An 18,933-nucleotide genomic window follows, 5' to 3' on the forward strand; every position below is an offset into this window, starting at 1 on the left:
CAAGGTGTTTGCACTCGGAGTGGGGTCTGCCTTGCACTGATGGAGGGAAAAGGGTAGGGGGCACAGTGGAGGAAGCTGGGAGGAAGAGGCTGGGTGTGAGAGGACAGAGGAGCTGGGGTGGGCACCTCGTCCTGTCCTGTCTTCCTTCCACCACTGCCTCCATCCTCCCACGGAGGCCGCCGCGGGGTGGCAAACCGGTGTCCTGACCCAGCTGCGCTCAGAGCCGTGGAGTGATGTTCTAGTGCCACCTGGTGGCCAGAGTGGTGTCTGCACCCAGGACTGTCCCTGCCTGGCCGGCCTCCCCTGCCCATAGGGGGACAGTGCCAGAACCGGGCAGTTGAGGTGGTAGGGATGCCCCACTGGCTGCTGTAACAGTAATTGTGGCTGTCGTGTTCCCAGTCTGTGATTGCGTCAGATTCTCAGGGCAGTCACCTTCGTCATTAGACCCCTGTCCCCTCCCCAGCCTAATGGGAGGGGTGGCAGTTCACGACTGAACAGGGTCCCCCCTCCTCTTCTTCCTAGGCAGCCATGTCCCCACGCTCCTGCTGTTCCCCAGCCTGGAGCAACGTCAGCCCCAAACATCCCCCAGGTCTGTGGGTACCACTTGAGCACTGCCTGTGGCTATGTGTGCCCTGTGGCCACTAGACCCCCAGGGCAGCTCTGGGCATGTCCCCCCACCCCAGAACCTCACTAGGCCTTTCCCAGGCCTGCCAGCCCTGAGCTTGGCTTGCTTGCTTTCTTTTTCTTGAGACGGATTTTCCCTCTTGTCACTCAGGCGCACTGAAACCTCCACCTCCTGGGTTCAAGTGATTCTCCTGCCTCATCCCCCCCGAGTAGCGGGGATTACAGGTGCCCGCTACCACATCCGGCTAATTTTTGTATTTTTAGTGGAGACAAAGTTTCACCATGTTGGCCAGGCTGGTCTCAAACTCCTGACCTCAGGCGATTCGCCTGCCTCGGCCTCCCAAAGTGCTGGGATTACAGGCGTGAGCCACCACAACCAGCTGAGCTTGGCATTTAAGACCTGTCTTTTAGGCTGGGCGCCTCCCGGAAAGAGGAGGTTGTAATGAGCCGAGATTGGGCCACTGCACTCCAGCATAGGTGACGGAGGGAGTCTCTGTCTCAAAGAAAAAAAAAAAAAAGAGAGAAAGAAAAGACCAGTCTCTCCCCTCATCCACTCTCCAATCCTTCCCTGGGCCCAGCAAGGGACCTCTGGGGCTGGGGGTATCCTCCCAGCCACCCCTCACACGGGCCCCATTAGTGGCTGGCACCCACCTGGAGCGTGTGGGCTGTCCCTCTCTGTCATTGGTGTCGTGGTATCGTCCTTTCCTCTCTCACTCAGCGGCGCCTCTCTCCTGCCCCTCTCTGTCTCCCGCAGACCCAGACCGTCATGTACGACCTTGTATCGGAGCTGCACGCTCAGCACGAGGAGCTGGAGGCCCGCCTGGCCACCCTGGAAAGCCGCTTGGATGCGCTGGGTGCCTCTCTACAGGCCCTGCCTGGCCTCATCGCCCAAGCCATACGCCCACCCCCGCCTCCCCTGCCTCCCAGGCCCGGCCCCGGCCCCCAAGACCAGGCAGCCCGGAGCTCCCCCTGCCGGTGGACGCCCGTGGCCCCCTCGGACTGCGGGTGACGGCCCTGCCCGCCACCAGACCCCTAAATCTTGGCCATCGTGTGGCCGCCACCTCCGGGAAGCCTTGTACAGTGGCGCCTCTTGGAGTTCAAGAAGCCAACGCTGAGTCAGGCTGAGTGGACTGAGGCCTGCCCCGCCCAGACTGCCCAGGCAGAGGGCAGGGCTGGACCATGGGTGAGGGCAGGGGAGCCCGGAGCTTCCTCTGGTCACCTGGTCCCCCGACTCTCCCCAGGCCCCCGGTGGGCATGGAGCAGCCCGGGGAGGGGTCCGTGCTGGTTCTGAATAAAGCAGGACCCGCCTAGTGGCTGCCTGTGTGCATGGCTGGAAGGCACTGGTGATGTCCCAGGAGGTAGACCTCCAGCCCTGGGTACCAAGATGAATGTGGGAATCAGAAAAACCTGTTCCCATCACCGGCCTAGCCTAGAATCCTAGCCTAGAAGCCCTCTCTCCCTCTGGGCTGGAGCTCAGTGAGGGACAACTCTCTAGGGACACCTGTACCAGCCCCACCTGGCGCTGAGATCCCTCAGACAGCATGGCCCAGCCCTGGCCAGAAGCATCGCTCCCCTTCAACCAACCGCGTTGATGGACACCCACTGTGTGCCAGGCCCCAGCGGGGCCCATGGGGGAGGTGACCTGGGTGAGGAAGGTCATTTGGGTTTTTGTGAGATTTGTATTGAGCACCTGCTGTCTACAGAGAATGTGATGATGTCAATTACCACACTGATTCCTCATCAGAACTTGACCATGGTGGGATGGGGGGGAAACTGAGGCCCAGAGAGGTGAATCTACCTACCTGGGACCACACTGCGAGGAAGGATGGTGCATTCAAACTGGAAATCCCCTAGGCCAAAGTAAAGAACCGGACTGGCTGGGCACAGTGGCTCACACCTGTAATCCCAGCACTTTGGGAGGGTAAAGCGGGCGGATCACCTGAGGTCAGGAGTTCAAGACCAGCCTGGGCAACATGGTGAAACCCTGTCTCTACTAAAAATATAAAAATTAGCTGGGTGTGGTGGTGCACGCCTGTAATCCCAGCTACTTGGGAGGCTGAGGCAGGATAATCGCTTGAACCCAGGAGGTGGAGGTTGCAGTGAGAAAAAACCTGGACTTGGTGGAAGGGACTCCATGGAGGAGCCATGGGGACGTCAGGAGGAGGGGTTATTTGGTGACATCCAGGGGTCAGAGAGACCCTTCAGGGGTGGGCTACAGGGGAGGGTTCCAGACACAAGTAGAATCAGAAAGGTCCCTGGAGGCCATGGGCTTGGGTGCTGGGAGCAACAGGCATTTACTTGGCAGATGCTGAGCCCTGGGTGGGGCGAGGAGGCCTGGCTCCTGGGGAGACGACGCTGTGCATAGCCGAGGAGCCCCAGGTCCTGGCAGCCTCTGATAAGGCCATCCATCGCCTGGCTCAACGAGATAACTAGGCCGTGGCTGGTGCATGAATGACCAGCTTGGGCCCACGCACGAGAAGGGTATGAGGAGGTGCTGGTCAGACCCGGGTTCGAGTCCTGACTCTGCCACTGCTGGGTGACTCTGAGCAGTGGCTGCCCCTCTGGGGCCTTGGTTGTTTCATCTGTAAAATGGGGTGACAGTCTATTTAACCAGAACTCCCTAAAAAGGGCCAGGCAACTGGTAGGTGCTCAATAAATGCTCCTTCCCGCCTGAGGGATCACACTGGAGTCTTTGGCAGGACTCATCCTTTCTACCCTGTTGTCTGGCTGGGGAAACTAAGGCCTGAGAAGGAAAGGGGCTGTCCTTCAGGGTGAGAACCCAGGGTTTGGTTAAGGAACATCCGTGGGTGTACCTTCTGTGCCAGTGGTAGCTCCCAGGTCTGATGGCAGAGGCACAGTAAACCCATAGTACTTAAAAAAAAAAAAAAAAAAACACCAAAGCCATAAAGTTATGAACAGGCCGGGCGTGGTGGCTCACGCCTGTAATCCCAGTACTTCGGGAGGCTGAGGTGGGAGGATCACCTGAGGTCAGGAGTTGGAGACCAGCCGGCCAACATGGTGAAACCCTATCTCTACTAAAAATACAAAAATTAGCTGGGCGTGGACGACTCCTGTCGTCCCAGGTACTCAGGAGACTGAGGCAGGAGAATTGCTAGAACCAGGGAGGTGGAGATTGCAGTGAGCCAGGATCACGCTACTGTGCCCCGGCCTGGGCGACAGAGCGAGACTCTGTCTTAAAAAAAGAGAGAGAGAAAGAGAAAAGTAAACAAGGCAAGAAAGAAAGAGAAAAAAAGAAAGAGAGGAAGGAGGGAAGGAAGGAAGGAAGGAAAGAAAGAAAAAACAGAGAAAAGTAAACAAGGCCAGAGGTGGCAAGGGGACTCTGAGGAAGTGGCATTTGGGCGTGGGCGGGATGGGTGGGAGAACGGATCTGGTAGCGGAACGGCCCAGTGCGGAGGCGAAGAGAGCTACTCGAGGTGGATTTTGTTTGAGGGACAGCCATGAAGTGACAATGACGGGGAGACTGAGGCGGTGCCGGGTTCTGGGCGGCGGGGGGGGCAGGGGTAGTGAGGGGCGAATGAGACCATAGGGCTGAGATCTGCGGCCGCCTCGGTGCCTCCCCAGCCACCTCCGCCCCTGCCTGCTTCTGATTCAACAGCGCCGACCCTACAAAAACAGGGCCCGCCCATCTCCGAGGATGGCAAAGTCAACAGTGCGGGCACGCGGGCGGCCAGTCCCCGGCGGCCCGCGTGCGTCACGGGGGCGGATGCAGAGGACCAGGAAGTTCGCCGACGACGCGCCCGCCCTGGGCCACCGGCGCCGGCCCAAGTTCGCCGGGGGGGCCCGGAGGAAGCTTGGGGGACGCGACGGGGGAACGCGGAAACCCCGGGGATCTGCAGGCGCGCCCGGGCCGTGTGCCTTCTCTCCGCGTGTCCAAACCGTGTCCCCAGCCGCGCGCCATGCGCTCTGGGGGCGTGCGCAGCTTCGCGCTGGAGCTGGCGCGGGGCCCGGGCGGCGCCTACCGCGGCGGGGAGCGGCTGTGCGGCCGGGTGCTGCTGGAGGCGGCGGCGCCGCTGCGGGTGCGAGCGCTCGAGGTGAAGGCGCGCGGCGGGGCGGCCACCCACTGGTTGGAGGGTCGCAGCGTGGGCGTCAACGCCGTATCCAGCGACTACGCGGCCGCGGAGACCTACCTGCGGCGTCGGCAGCTGCTGCTCCGAGGTGAGACACTCGTCGCGCCGCCCCCGCAGCAGCCGGGACCCCCTCGGCCGCGACCCTCTTCAGGGCCGGAAGCCTCTCAACTTAGAACCTATGCGGTCGGGTGATCCTTTTCAAGGAGGGGGAAACCCCCTTCCCGGGGTCCTGACCCTCCCACAGGTCAGGAGTTCAAGACTAGCCTGGGCGACATGGTGAAACCCCATGTCTCCAAAAACTACAAAAATTAGCCAGGCTTAGTGGCGCGCGCCTGGAGTCCCAGCTACAGGCTGAAGTGGGAAGATCGCTTGAGCCTGGGAGGTAGAGGTTGTAATGGGCTGAGATCGCACCACTGCACTCCAGCCTGGACACCCACCCCGCCCTGGTCAGGACCCCCACTAACCGGGAACGTCTACCCAGGGTCTGGGTGTTCCCTTCTCTGGAGCCAGACTCCCTCAACTTAGACTGTGCGGTGGGGAGACCCCTTTCAAAGCAGGGGGACCCTCCTATTAGAGTCCAGGAAACCCGCGGGAAGTAGAGTGGGAGATCTCCCTGGTGGACCCCAGTGTCCCCGTTGATCCCAGGCCTGGAGTCCCTGATTCTCAGAGAAGGCCCCCAACTCGTGTTACCCAGGGCCCCACCTCAGTTTACCCCACAGGGTCTGCAGCGCTGAGTTCTTCCCTGGGGTAGGGTTGGGGGTCTGGTGGTATTTCCCGGTGAGGAGGTGGAAATGCATCCCAGAGGGGAAGAGATGAAGTGGGGTCACATTCTCCTGGGAGTCTGGGTCTTGGGCAGGTCCCTACTCTTCCCCGAACCTCAGTCCTTCTCGCACCCCAAGCGCCCCTAGGCCACGCAGCTGGTCACCAGCGAGCCAGGGGTCACAGAAGGAGGCAGTCCATACCCTCACACCCTACTGTGTGGCTGCGGGAGGGCATCATCCTCTCTGGGCCGCCCTGGCTATTCCTCCGGGCCAAGCCAGACCTCACTATACCCGTCTGTAAAATGGGCCGGGAGGGAGGCAGCTCAGATTCTCGACAGCCCCACTTTTTTCCCAGCGCTGCGGGCAATAGAAGTTTTGGGCACACAAGAGCCACAGGTGCGGGGGACCCTTCCCTCCCCAGCGGTGGAAACAGAAGCAAGTGCGGTGGGGCAGGGCAGGAAGGGGCCCAGGAGGCACTTCCCTTCCCCGGCGACTCGGAGAACTCTTGGGACCGCTTTCACCCGAAGGCCGGCCCAGACACTCAACGGCGACTTCCTTAAAACACTGGAGAGGCAGCCGGGTGCGGTGGCTCACGCCTGTAATCCCAGCACTTTGGGAGGCTGAGGCGGGCAGATCACCTGAGGTCAGGAGTTCGAGACCAGCCTGGCCAACATGGTGAAACTTTGTCTCCACTAAAAATACAAAAATTAGCTGGGCGTGCTGGTGGGCGCCTGAAATCCCAGCAACTCGGGAGGCTGAGGCAGAATTGCTTGAACCCGGCAGGCGGAGATTGCAGTGAGCTGAGATGGCACCACTACACTCCAGCCTGGGCAACAGAGCGAAACTCCGTCTCAAAAACAAAAACAAAAACAAATAAACAAAAAACACTGGAGAGGCGAGCCTGGTGGGTCCACCTGTGGTCCCAGCTATCACAGAGGCTGAAGCGGAAGGATTGCTTGAGCTAAGTTAGAGGCCAGCCTGGGCAACATAATGAGACCTCCCACCCTCCACTCCGTTTTTGTGTTTGTTTTTGTTTTTGAGACAGGGTCTTACTCTGTTACTCAGGCTGGAGTGCAGTGGCACGATCTCGGCTCACTGCAACCTCTGCCTCCCATGTTCAAGTGATTCTGCAACCTCAGACTCCTGAGTAGCTGGGACTACAGGTGCCCGCCACCACACCCGGCTAACTTTTTGTTTTGTTTTGTTTTGTTTTGTTTTGTTTTTCTGAGACAGAGTCTCACTCTGTCACCCAGGCTGGAGTGCAGTGGCGCCGGCGCAATCTTGGCTCACTGCAACCTCTGCCTCCCAGGTTCCAGTGATTCTCCTGCCTCAGCCTCCCGAGTAGCTGGGATTATAGGTGCCCGCCAACACGCTGGCTAATTTTTGTTTGTTTGTTTGTTTGTTTGTTTGGGGGACGGAGTCTCCCTCTGCTGCCCAGGCTGGAGTGCAGTGGCACCATCTCGGCTCACTGCAAGCTCTGCCTCCCGGGTTCACGCCATTCTCCTGCCTCAGCCTCCCGAGCAGCTGGGACTACAGGCACCCGCCACCACGCCCGGCTAATTTTTTGTATTTTTAGTAGAGACGGGGTTTCACCATGTTAGCCAGAATGGTCTCGATCTCCTGACCTCGTGATCTGCCCGCCTCGGCCTCCCAAAGTGCTGGGATTACAGGCATGAGCCACAGTGCCCGGCCAATTTTTGTATTTTTAGTAGAGACGGGTTTCACCATGTTGGCCAGGCTGGTCACGAAATCCTGACCTCAGGTGATCCATCCACCTCGGCCTTCCAAAATGCTTGGCTTACAGGCATGAGCCACCATGCCCGGCCCCCATCTCTTTAAATACATAAAAATTGGCTGGGCGCAGTGGCTTATGCCTGTAATCCCAGTACTTTGGGAGGCTGAGGCAGGAGGATCACTTGAGGTCAGGAGTTCAAGACCAGCCTGGCCAACATGGTGAAGCCCTGTCTCTACTAAAAATACAAAAATTAGCCGGGCTAACTTTTTTTTTTTTTTTTTTTTAGGCGGAATTTCACTCTTGTTGCCCAGGCTGGAGTGCAATGGCATGATCTCGCCTCACTGCAACCTCCACCTCCCAGGTTCAAGTGTTTCTCCTGCCTCAGCCTCCCAAGTAGCTGGGATTACAGGCATGCGCCACCACACCCGGTAAATTTTGTATCTTTAGTAGAGACGGGGTGTCTCCATGTTGGTCAGGCTGGTCTCGAACTCCTGACCTCAGGTGATCCGCCTGCCTCGGCCTCCCAAAGTGCTGGGATTACAGGCGTGAGCCACCGCGCCCGGCCAAGGTGGGCTAATTTTTAAATTCTCCCAGCTACTCAGGGGGCTAAGGCAGGAGAATCGCTGGAACCCGGAAGGTGGAGGTTGCAGTGAGCCAAGATGGTGCCACTGCACTACAGCCTGGGTGTCAGAGCAGAGTGAGACCCTGTCTCAAAAAAAAAAAAAATTAAAATTTTGGCTGGGTGCAGTGGCTCACACCTGTAATCCCAGCACTTTGGGAGGCTGAGGCGGGCAGATCGCTTGAGCTCAAGAGTTCAAGACCAGCCTGGGCAACATGGTGAAACCCCATCTTTACAAAAAATACAAAAATTAGCGGGGCATGGTGGTACACACCTGTAATCCCGGCTACTCGGGAGGCTGAGGTGGAAGGGAGGCAGAGGTTGCAGTGAACCTAGATCGCGCCACTGCACTCCAGCCTGGGCAACAGAGTGAGATCCTGTCTCAAAAAAAAAAAGAAAAGCAAATTTAAAAAAAATTTTTTTTTTTTAATTGATCATTCTTGGGTGTTTCTTGCAGAGGGGGATTTGGCAGGGTCATAGGACAATAGTGGAGGGAAGGTCAGCAGATAAACAGGTGAACAAAGGTCTCTGGTTTTCCTAGGCAGAGTGTTTGTGTCCCTGGGTACTTGAGATTAGGGAGTGGTGATGACTCTTAACGAGCATGCTGCCTTCAAGCATCTGTTTAACAAAGCACATCTTGCACCACCCTTAATCCATTTAACCCTGAGTGGACACAGCACATGTTTCAGAGAGCACAGGGTTGGGGGTAGGGTCACCGATCAACAGGATCACAAAGCAGAAGAATTTTTCTTAGTACAGAACAAAATGAAAAGTCTCCCATGTCTACCTCTTTCTACACAGACACGGCAACCATCCGATTTCTCAATCTTTTCCCCACCTTTCCCCCCTTTCTATTCCACAAAACCGCCATTGTCATCATGGCCCGTTCTCAATGAGCTGTTGGGTACACCTCCCAGACGGGGTGGTGGCCGGGCAGAGGGGCTCCTCACTTCCCAGTAGGGGCGGCCGGGCAGAGGTGCCCCCTCACCTCCCGGACGGGGCGGCTGGCCGGGTGGGGGGCTGACCCCCCGACCTCCCTCCCGGACGGGGCGGCTGGCCGGGCAGGGGGCTGACCCCCCCACCTCCCTCCCGGATGGGGCGGCTGGCTGGGTGGGGGGCTGACCCCCCGCCTCCCTCCCAGACGGGGCGACTGGCTTGGCGGGGGCTGACCCCCCACCTCCCTCCTGGACGGGGTGGCTGCCGGGCGGAGAAGCTCCTCACTTCCCAGACGGGGTGGCAGCCGGGCGGAGGGGCTCCTCACTTCTCAGACGGGGCGGCTGCCGGGCGGAGGGGCTCCTCACTTCTCAGACGGGGCGGCCGGGCAGAGACGCTCCTCACCTCCCAGACGGGGTCGCGGCCGGGCCGAGGCTCTCCTCACATCCCAGACGGGGCGGCGGGGCAGAGGCGCTCCCCACATCTCAGACGATGGGCGGCCGGGCAGAGACGCTCCTCACTTCGTAGATGGGATGGCGGCCGGGAAGAGGCGCTCCTCACTTCCTAGGTGGGATGGCGGCCGGGCAGAGACGCTCCTCACTTTCCAGACTGGGCAGCCAGGCAGAGGGGCTCCTCACATCCCAGACGATGGGCGGTCAGGCAGAGACGCTCCTCACTTCCCAGACGGGGTGGCGGCCGGGCAGAGGCTGCAATCTCGGCACTTTGGGAGGCCAAGGCAGGCGGCTGGGAGGTGGAGGTTGTAGCGAGCCGAGATCACGCCACTGCACTCCAGCCTGGGCACCATTGAGCACTGAGTTAACGAGACTCTGTCTGCAATCCCGGCACCTCGGGAGGCTGAGGCTGGTGGATCACTCGAGGTTAGGAGCTGGAGACCAGCCGGGCCAACACAGCGAAACCCCTTCTCCACCAAAAAAACCAGTCAGGCGTGGCGGCGCGCGCCTGCAATCGCAGGCACTCGGCAGGCTGAGACAGGAGAATCAGGCAGGGAGGTTGCAGTGAGCCGAGATGGCAGCAGCACAGTCCAGCTTCTGCTCGGCATGAGAGGGAGACCGTGGAAAGAGAGGGAGAGGGAGACCAAGGGGAGAGGGAGAGGGAGAGGGAGCTTAAAAATTGTTAAATTGTTATACATTTAAGGAAAAAACAGTGACACTGGAGGGGCGAGGCCAGTGGAGGTGCTGTGTGACCTCGGGCAGAGCCCCACCCATCTCTGGGCCTTTGGGGTCCGTCTGCGAAATGAATTGAGGGAGGCGCTGGCTCAGTAGTCCCTTCAGGGTTACCTAATCCCGCTTCTCCTCCCGGACTTAACGGCCTACTGTCTCCCCTCTAGTATCCATTGAAACCTGGCCTAAGGTCCCAGACCTTCCTTTCAACTCCAAAGACCCATCCTCCCAGGCAGCCTTCCAGGCTGATCACTGTGCCTCCAACTCCGTCGTTCCTGTTCCGATCCCCATCACGGGCTGAGGGTGACCGTGTTTGTTTATGACCGCCCCCTCCACCCACACACCTCACTGAGGTGGTGGAAGTCTCCTGAGCCAGGCTCAGAGGCGGACAGTCACGGCAGGGGATGGGTTCAGCGGCAGCGCATTACGCTGCCACGAGAGGGCGCCAGCGTCCCGCAGACGACGCAGAGGCAACTCCCGCTGGAGAAACTCCATGCGACTTTTCTTTGGGGAAACTGAAGCCCAGAGAGAGGTCACGCCGTCCCGTGGCCACACCGCAGCTGTGGACCTGGGGGTGCCCGAGCGTCCCCTGCATTCAGCTCTGTGGCGGGACGGGGGCTGAGGATGACTGGAGCAGGCACAAGGGCTGCGGGGAAGGTAGGGTTTGCCAGAGGCTGAAAATTGGGAAGGGAACATCATTTCGTAGGTACCGCTCCTGGGCGAATGCGCCGAGGCGCGACCGAGTGACGGTATGTCAAGAGCAGGTTGATGACCCGGGAGCGAGGCTCTTGGAGGAGTCCAGCTGGGGCTGCACGATGATCCATGCACAACCTTCTGAGGTCAGGACTGATTTTTACTTTCTCCCGGCTCTACAGAGGTGGAAACTGAGGCTCCAAGAGGTTGTCATTTGCCCAGAGCCACCAGCTAAGCGGGACTTGAATCAGGAAAGGGGTGCAGCAGGCACCAGTGTGGAGGGCGGTCCCACCCACCTCCTCCACTTCTCCCTTTGCATAGCGGGGGAAACAGGCCTGGAACAGTCATAGGCTCTCTGGCCCTCAACTGGGGCGAGAGTCCCCCGCCCCAAATCGGGCTGGACATGCCTCGAGTCACGTCAACGAGGGGCGGCTGGTGAGTGATTAAGCCGAGAGGCTGAAGGCTCTGCTAGGTGACCTCAGGCCTGGGCCCTGCCTCTGCACCTCTTTTTTTCCTCTTTACCCCCGGGGTCCGCGAGAGACCAGCTCTGGCAGCCTAAGGGCTTCAGTTTCTCCCCGGGGTCCGCGAGGGAAGGGGGCAGCCGGCGGTGAGCAGGGGCGTTTGTTATTTTGCTCCACGCCTGGGCAGAGCCACGCCCCTTGTCGCGCTATTGGTGGAGTCCCTTCCCGGGGCGGGGAAGAGACGGTGACCCCACCCCCCCCCGCCCTGCCGTATAAAAGCGGCGCCGACGCACGGCGCGGGGATTTTCTGCTCCGGTTGGTGAGCGCGCCTGCGCGTTGACGGCGATTTTGCGTTCTGAGGCTGCAGCGTCGGCATCTTGAGCTGCCGGTTCGCGAGTTCGAGGCCAGGTTCCGCCTGTCGTGGGTTCGCACCCCGGACGCGATGCTATTCGACAAGGTGAAAGCGTTCTCGGTGCAGTTGGACGGCGCGACCGCGGGCGTCGAGCCCGTGTTTAGCGGCGGCCAGGCCGTGGCGGGCCGGGTGCTGCTGGAGCTGTCAAGCGCCGCGCGTGTGGGTGCCCTGAGGCTGCGCGCGCGGGGCCGCGCCCACGTGCACTGGACCGAGTCGCGCAGCGCGGGCTCGAGCACGGCTTACACGCAGAGCTACAGTGAACGCGTGGAGGTCGTGAGCCACCGCGCCACGCTCCTGGCGCCAGGTACGGATGGAGGACCCCTGCTCCAACACCAGTTGTGTGCCTCCCACCACCTGGACGGCGGTACCTCCGTCAGCCCTGGGACCCCAGCGCAACCGCTCAGTCGCCTCCTTTTTCTCCTACCTGCAGATACCGGGGAGACCACGACGCTGCCTCCTGGGCGCCATGAGTTCCTGTTCAGCTTCCAGCTGCCCCCGTAAGTCCTCTGGGGTGCAGGGTTGCCCTAAGCCTGCAGCCCCTTCCAGATTGGTACCTCCAATACTGGATATCTGGGCACCTCTGAGCCCCAAGACTCTCCCCCTGGGAGGCCCCCGGAGTGTCTGTGTCTCCTTCTCCCTGCCTGCTTGTCTCTGTATCTTGTCCCCTGAAGTCCCGTCCCTCCACCCTAGGACCCTGGTGACATCCTTCGAGGGCAAACACGGTAGTGTCCGCTACTGTATCAAGGCCACCCTGCACCGGCCCTGGGTCCCAGCACGCCGGGCAAGGAAGGTGTTCACTGTCATCGAGCCTGTGGACATCAACACGCCAGCCCTGCTGGTGAGTGGCCACCCTTGGGGAGGTAGGTTGGGAGTATTGTAGGAAGGGGCCTGCCTGGCTGCTGGGCGACACCAACCAATAAGATGGAGGTCATAGGTGGGCCCTGGCAGGGAGGGAGGCAGGTGTGGGAATGCGTGTGGAATCCACTGGGATCTGCACCCATTTGCCGTGTGACTCTGGGCAAGTGTCTTGAAGCCCTCTCTGAGCCTCAGATGCCTCTTCTGTGAAATAGACCAGAGCTAGGGCTTACCAAGTGTGAATTACACACCAAACACTTGGCTTATACATTTCATTTCTGGCTTTATAAGATGGGTTGTGTTCCTGGCTCTATTTAACGGATAGTTCCTGGATTGTTAAAAAGAAACCAAGCCCTGCCCAAAGTCCTCCCTCAGCTGGGGGTGGTTTGGAAGCTCCACAGCGACTGTGGTTTGCACAAAGTGACTCATCCATGTCACTTTCCTCTACACCGACAGGCACCTCAAGCGGGGGCTCGGGAAAAGGTTGCCCGATCCTGGTACTGTAACCGTGGCCTAGTCTCCCTTTCGGCCAAGATCGACCGCAAGGGCTACACCCCAGGTAGCAGGCGGACCGGACTGGGTTGGGACGGGGGCTGGTGTTGGGGTTGCAGGAGGGGAAACTGAGGCCCCACTGCTCCTTGCTGCAGGAGAGGTCATCCCTGTCTTTGCCGAGATCGACAACGGCTCCACACGTCCTGTGCTGCCTCGGGCAGCCGTGGTGCAGACACAGACGTTCATGGCCCGAGGCGCCCGAAAGCAGAAACGGGCAGTGGTGGCCAGCCTCGCGGGCGAGCCGGTGGGCCCCGGGCAGCGGGCGCTGTGGCAGGGCCGGGCACTGCGGATCCCCCCAGTGGGTCCTTCCATCCTGCACTGCCGCGTTCTACACGTGGACTACGCACTCAAGGTAGGGCATCCTGCTGGCCCTGGGGGACAGTGCCTACATTCACCCTGTATTCCCTCAGACTGGGGGAAGCTGAGGCCTCAGTCTCCCCAGGCATAGGAGGGAGGTGGGGGTTGGGGAGGCTGCCTGGGCACCCTCCCTTATGGTTCCTTCCTCCAGGTCTGTGTGGATATCCCAGGAACGTCCAAGCTGCTGCTGGAGCTGCCACTGGTGATCGGCACCATTCCCTTGCACCCTTTTGGCAGCCGTTCCTCCAGCGTGGGCAGCCACGCCAGCTTCCTGCTGGACTGGAGGCTGGGGGCCTTGCCGGAGCGGCCTGAGGGTAAGCTCCCACCCTGCTTGCATGCAGAGGGTGGGTGGATACACGGAGAGGTGGATGCCGGGTCAACTCTCTCACCACGAGTCCCCCGGAATCCCAACCAAAGGACATACAGCCTGGCAGCCCCAGAGCTGGCACAAGCCAGCTCCTGGCCCCTGGTCCCTTGGAGCAGGGCTCTCTCCTGCCAACCTCACCCACCCTGTCTCTCGCTTCCAGCTCCTCCTGAGTACTCGGAGGTGGTAGCCGACACTGAGGAGGCAGCCTTGGGGCAGAGCCCCTTCCCGCTTCCGCAGGACCCCGACATGAGCCTTGAAGGCCCGTTCTTCGCCTACATCCAAGAGTTCCGCTACCGCCCGCCACCCCTGTACTCTGAGGTGAGCTCAGGGGTCTGAGAACCACCCATGCCTCTCTGGGCCCTGGGAGCCTTGATGGGGTGGCAGACATAGTAGATGGGTTTTTTTTGTTTTTTTGTTTTTTTAGACAGGGTCTTGCTCTGTCACCCAGGCTGGAGTGCAGTGGCATAATCATAGCTCACTGCAGCCTCGACCTCCCGGGCTCAAGCAATCCTTTCGCCTCAGCCTCTTGAGTAGCTGGGACTACAGGCACACGCCACCACATCCTGCTAATTTTTGTGTTTTGTTTTGTTTTGCTTTGCTTTTTGAGATGGAGTTTCAGTCTTGTCACCCAGGCTGGAGTGCAATGGTGCGATCTCAGCTCACTTCAACTTCCGCATCCCTGGTAGAGCGATTCTCCTGCCTCAGCCTTCCGAGTAGCTGGGATTACAGGTGTTAGCCACCACACGTGGCTAATTTTTGTATTTTTAGTAGAGACGGGGTTTCACCATGTTGGTCAGGCTGGTCTTGAACTCCTGACCTCAGGTGATGGCCTGCCTCGGCATCCCAAAGTGCTGGGATTATATGCGTGAGCTACCACGCCCGGCCAATTTTTGTATTTTTTGTAGAAATGTGGTCTCACTGTGTTGCCCAGGCTGGTCTTGAACTCCTGGGCTCAAATGATCCTCCCATCTTGGCCTCCCCAAAGTGCTGGGATTACAGGCGTCAGCCACTGTGCCCGGCTGGCAGAGGATTTTAATTGTTGACAGAATTTCGCTACATACAGTCGGCCCTCTGCGTTAGCTGGTTTGGAATCTGCAGATTCAACCAAACATGGGTCAGAGACATTTGAAAAATAAATACATACATGGATAATACAGATTAAAAATATGATAGGCTGGGTGCGGTGGCTCATGCCTGTAATCCCAGCACTTTGAGAGGCCAAGATGGGAGGACTGCTTGAGGCCAGAAGTATAAGACCAACCTGGGTAACATAGCAAGACCCCCATCTCTACTGCAAATAATACAAAATTACCCAGGCTTGGTGGAGCCCATCTATGATTGGGAGGCTGAGGCAGGAGGATCGCTTGAGCCCAGGAGTTTGAGGCTGCAGTGAGCAATGATTGTGCTACTACATACTCCAGTCTGGGAGACAAAACAAGACCTCATCTCAATACTACTACTAATAGTAATAATGCAGTATAACAGTGATTAAATAGCATTTATATTTTGTGTGTGTATATGTGTATATATATATATATATATTTTTTTTTTTTTTTTTTTTTTGAGATGGAGTCTTGCTGTGTCACCTAGGCTGGAGTGAAGTGGCACAATCTCGGCTCACTGCAATCTCCACCTCCCGGGTTCAAGCAATTCTCCCTGTCTTAGCCTCCCGAGTAGCTGGGATTACAGGCATCCACCACCATGCCCAGCTAATTTTTGTATTTTTTAGTAGAGACGGGGTTTTGCCATGTTGGCCAGGCTGGTCTAGAATTCCTGACCTCAGGTGATCTGCCTGCCTTGACCTCCCAGAATGCTGGGATTACAGGCGTGAGCCACCACACCTGGCCATAAAGTATTATAGGTAATCTAGAAGAGATTTAAAGTACACGGGAGGGCTGGATGCAGTGGCTCATGCCTGTAATCCCAGCACTTTGGGAGGCTGAGGTGGGCAGATCACTTGAGGTCAGGAGTTTGAGACCAGCCTGGCCAACATGGCGAAACCAGGTCTCTACCAAAAATACAAAAATTAGCTGGGTGTGGTGGCATCCACCTGTGATCCCAGCTACTCACGAGGCTGAGGCAGGAGAATCGCTTGAACCCAGGAGGTAGAGGTTGCAGTGAGCCGAGATTGCGCCACTGCATTCCAGCCTGGGTGACAAAGCGAGACTCTGTCTCGAAAAATAAAATGAAATAAAAATAAAGTACACAGGAGGATGGGCTTAGATTATCCGCAAATATTATGCCATTTTATATCAGGGACCTGAGCATCTGTGGATTTTGGTATCCACGGGGTTCCTGGAACCAATCCCCTGTGGATACCAAGGGACGGTATACACTCAGCTCCAAAACCCTCCTTGCACCCCAGTCTGCCCTAGACACCACCTCCTGATGGCCTCATCCCTGGTCAAGGGCGGGAGTTGGGAGATGGCTAGATGGGGAGCGGTATTTCTGAATTTCTGTTTCCAGTGTTCTCTGAGGCTTAATGGGAACATTTCTCTTAGGAGGATCCAAACCCACTCTTGGGGGACATGAGGCCGCGCTGCATGACTTGCTGAACGGCACAGGGACCCCTCGAGGAACAAGGTTGCACACCAGCTTTCAGCCACCATGACTGTGGGGAGTGGCTGGACCAAGGGCTGACCTCCCCGACTGCATCAAAGTTGGGGAACCAAGTCTCAGAGTGAGGCGGGGGCCTTTCGGATATCACATGGGACAGAGGAAGAGCCCGGCTGGAATCTGACTTACCTGGACCGCTGTCCTTGTGAGGCATTGAATGCCCAGTGCAGTATCCGAGAGACTGTTTAATAACCTGTCTTCCCAGCCAATTGGTGGTGCTGGAATCCCCTAGGAGCCTTCAGTCTGGGAGAAACAGAGCCAGACATAGACAGTTCCAGCATCACAGAACCAGAAGAAGAGACCTGCAACTGTGAGAGTCCAGACAGGAAGCAGAGAAGGCGTCCTTGCGGAAAGGGCATTTTAGCTGAGGCTTTGGAGTACGAATAGGAGCTCAGCAGGCAGACGAATGAGGAATAAAGGTCAGAGAAGGTCAGAGCTGAGTGACGTTTGGAATCCACCCCGTTTATTGTAGAACTGGGGGTTCAGAGGGCAGGTGCCTCAGAGTTGAGGCCACACAGTGAGGTCTGGTGGGTGAAAGGACCCAGGAACGAGGCGTTCAGGAAAGCAGGTTGTCAGAGCTATGTGGAGTCTGTGGGTGGCAGGGGCAGCCGCTCCAGCCTTTGAAGACTTTGAAAGCCAGAGATTCCTGGCGCAGGCTTGGACTTCCTGGGAGCTCCTCCAAGTACCCAGGGGCATCAGAGCTGCCTGGGTGTTACATGGCCCAGGGAACCCAGGTTCAGGGTAGGACAGGCAAGACCAGATACCCAATGTGCAAAGTGAAAACACTGGGCTCCCTGTTAAACGATGAAGAATTCAAGACAGTGACAGCATTACGTCACCCCTGGGGACAGAGGTCAGCCTAAGGTGACACACGGGGACTACTGTGCTTCCGGAGGCTCCCTGTGTCCTGGAGGAGAAAAGCATTAGAGGGGGCAGCTGGACAAGCTCCCAACTGCAGAGTCCCAGCCCTGGCTGGGGCAGGGCCCCGGCCTGGGACTCAGCATTTCTGATATGCCTTAAGAATTCATTCTGTTTTGTACAATTATTTTTTAAAAGTAAACGTGTGGAGAAAGAATCCGGGCTTCTTGGTTTATTTCCGCCCCCGATCTGGCTGCTGAGGGAACTGGGACTGCCATCCCTGGTCACTATCTTGGAGACTAAATTCCTGGCCAAGGAAGGCAAAGGGGCTCATGATTGAGAAGGGGAAACTGAGGCCCAGGACTGGGAGGGGGTTGGTCCAAGGACATATGAGGAGGCTGAGCTGGGGTGGGAGCTGAGCCCTGGGCCCCATACCTGCACCGCCTATCGGAGTCTCAGAGGCTGGCGGGGGCTGAACAGTGGAGGACAAGCAGAGAACTCTATCCTCAGAGAGTGGGGAGCAGGGGGCTGGGGCTGGGAGGAGCCGCCTGAGTACGGGAACATCCTGTCATCTGAGTCTAGGTTTGGTTTTTGTGGGTTTTTTTCTGTTTGTTTTTGTTTTTCAGAAGGAGTCTTGCTGTGTCGCTCAGGCATAGTGTAGAGTGTAGTGGTGTGATCTCAGCTCACTACAACCTCCACCTCCTGGGTTCAAGCGATTCTCCTGCCTCAGCCTCCAAGTAGCTGGGATTACAGGTGCCTGCCACCACACCCGGCTAATTTTTGAATTTTTAGTAGAGACGGGGTTTATTTTTTTTTTCTTTCTTTCTTTTTTTTTTAAGACAGAGTTTCGCTGTGTCACCCAGGCTGGAGTGCAATGGCTTGGTCTTGGCTCACTGCAACCTCCGCCTCCCGGGTTCAAATGATTCTCCTGTTTCAGCCTCGAAAGTAGCTGGAATTACAGGCATGTGCCACCACGCCTGGCTAATTTTTCTATTTTTTTAGTAGAGACAGGGTTTTACCATGTTGGCCAGGCTGGTCTCAAACTCCTGACCTCAGGTGATCTGCCTGCCTCCGCCTCCCAAAGTGCTGGGATTACAGGTGTGAGCCACCATGCCTAGCCCTGGATTTGTTTTTATTGAGGTGAAATTCACATATTGTAAAATTCACCACTTGAAAGTATTCAATTTAGTACACTTTACAATGTAGCATTTAATACTCATAATGTTTCTTTTGTTTGGTTTTGAGATGTTCTCACTCTGTTGCCCAGGCTGGAGTGCAATGGCCCGATCACAGCAGCCTCAAGAGATCCTGGGCTCAAGAGATCCACTTGCCTCAGCTCCTCGAGTGGTTGGGACCACAAGTGTGTACCACCACACCCAGCTAATTATTTTTTTGTAGAGACACGATCTCCCTTTGTTTCTCAGGTGGGTCTTAAATTCCTGGGCTCCAGCAGTCCTCCCGCCTCAGCCTCCCAAAGTACTCGGATTACAGATGTGAACCATCACAACCGACCTGGCTATTTACGATGTTATGCAACCATCACCACCATCTATTTCCAGAACATTTCTATCCCTGCCAAAGGAAACCCTGTCCCCACTAGTGATCAATCCCCATTCCCCTTCCCCCACCTCCAGCAACCACTTTCTGTCTCTGGATTTGCCTATTGTGAACATTTCATATCAATGGAATCATGCGGCCTTTTGTGTCTGGCTTTTATCACTCAGCATGTTTTCCGGGTTCATCCACATTGTACTATGTGTCAGAACTTCATTCCTTTTTCTGGTTGAATAATATTCCATTGTGTGCGTAGACCACATTGTG

The 18,933-nt window shown here is 57.5% G+C and overlaps 2 protein-coding genes across 11 annotated transcripts in view, besides 5 other annotated features; both read left to right on the forward strand.

The window, feature by feature from the left end:
* The window catches only part of KCNN1 (potassium calcium-activated channel subfamily N member 1), a 48,796-nt gene extending 45,484 nt beyond the window's left edge, over positions 1–3,312 (forward strand). For all 8 annotated transcript variants that reach the window (NR_170373.1, NR_170374.1, NM_002248.5 and 5 more), the window contains one exon: positions 1,379–3,312. Coding sequence is in view for 6 of the 8 variants with exons in the window: in NM_002248.5 (NP_002239.2) it covers positions 1,379–1,633 (255 nt within the window). In the remaining 2 variants the exon portion in view is untranslated. The remainder of the gene's footprint in view (positions 1–1,378) is intronic.
* Positions 13–514: an enhancer, noted in NCBI's record as "H3K4me1 hESC enhancer chr19:18107595-18108096 (GRCh37/hg19 assembly coordinates)". NCBI's record gives its function as "activates a minimal SCP1, AML or CMV promoter by ChIP-STARR-seq in primed H9 embryonic stem cells {active_cell/tissue: H9 hESC(primed)}" and the evidence as "EXISTENCE:reporter gene assay evidence [ECO:0000049][PMID:30033119]".
* Positions 129–378: a silencer, noted in NCBI's record as "silent region_10366". NCBI's record gives its function as "represses an Ori minimal core promoter by ATAC-STARR-seq in GM12878 lymphoblastoid cells {active_cell/tissue: GM12878}" and the evidence as "EXISTENCE:reporter gene assay evidence [ECO:0000049][PMID:35858748]".
* Positions 4,255–4,694: a silencer, noted in NCBI's record as "silent region_10367". NCBI's record gives its function as "represses an Ori minimal core promoter by ATAC-STARR-seq in GM12878 lymphoblastoid cells {active_cell/tissue: GM12878}" and the evidence as "EXISTENCE:reporter gene assay evidence [ECO:0000049][PMID:35858748]".
* On the forward strand, positions 4,351–17,329 carry ARRDC2 (arrestin domain containing 2). Of its 3 annotated transcripts, none has more exons than NM_001025604.3 (8): positions 4,351–4,800; positions 11,938–12,004; positions 12,198–12,345; positions 12,819–12,921; positions 13,010–13,266; positions 13,423–13,585; positions 13,799–13,956; positions 16,140–17,329. In NM_001025604.3, the coding sequence occupies exons 1-8, from the start codon at positions 4,542–4,544 to the stop codon at positions 16,191–16,193; spliced, it is 1,209 nt and encodes a 402-aa protein (NP_001020775.1). In that variant the 5' UTR covers positions 4,351–4,541; the 3' UTR covers positions 16,194–17,329. The 3 variants fall into 3 exon arrangements, with proteins under 3 accessions (NP_001020775.1, NP_056498.1, NP_001273755.1); NM_015683.2 differs by lacking the exon at positions 4,351–4,800 and adding an exon at positions 11,397–11,811; NM_001286826.2 differs by lacking the exon at positions 4,351–4,800 and adding an exon at positions 11,397–11,811 and having other exon boundaries at positions 16,143–17,329.
* Positions 11,451–11,670: an enhancer, noted in NCBI's record as "active region_14293". NCBI's record gives its function as "activates an Ori minimal core promoter by ATAC-STARR-seq in GM12878 lymphoblastoid cells {active_cell/tissue: GM12878}" and the evidence as "EXISTENCE:reporter gene assay evidence [ECO:0000049][PMID:35858748]".
* Positions 16,490–16,990: an enhancer, noted in NCBI's record as "H3K4me1 hESC enhancer chr19:18124072-18124572 (GRCh37/hg19 assembly coordinates)". NCBI's record gives its function as "activates a minimal SCP1, AML or CMV promoter by ChIP-STARR-seq in primed H9 embryonic stem cells {active_cell/tissue: H9 hESC(primed)}" and the evidence as "EXISTENCE:reporter gene assay evidence [ECO:0000049][PMID:30033119]".
* Positions 17,330–18,933: the final 1,604 nt, after the last annotated feature.

The sequence above is a fragment of the Homo sapiens genome, chromosome 19, assembly GCF_000001405.40.
Source record: "Homo sapiens chromosome 19, GRCh38.p14 Primary Assembly".
In the NCBI taxonomy this organism is placed as follows: domain Eukaryota; kingdom Metazoa; phylum Chordata; class Mammalia; order Primates; family Hominidae; genus Homo; species Homo sapiens.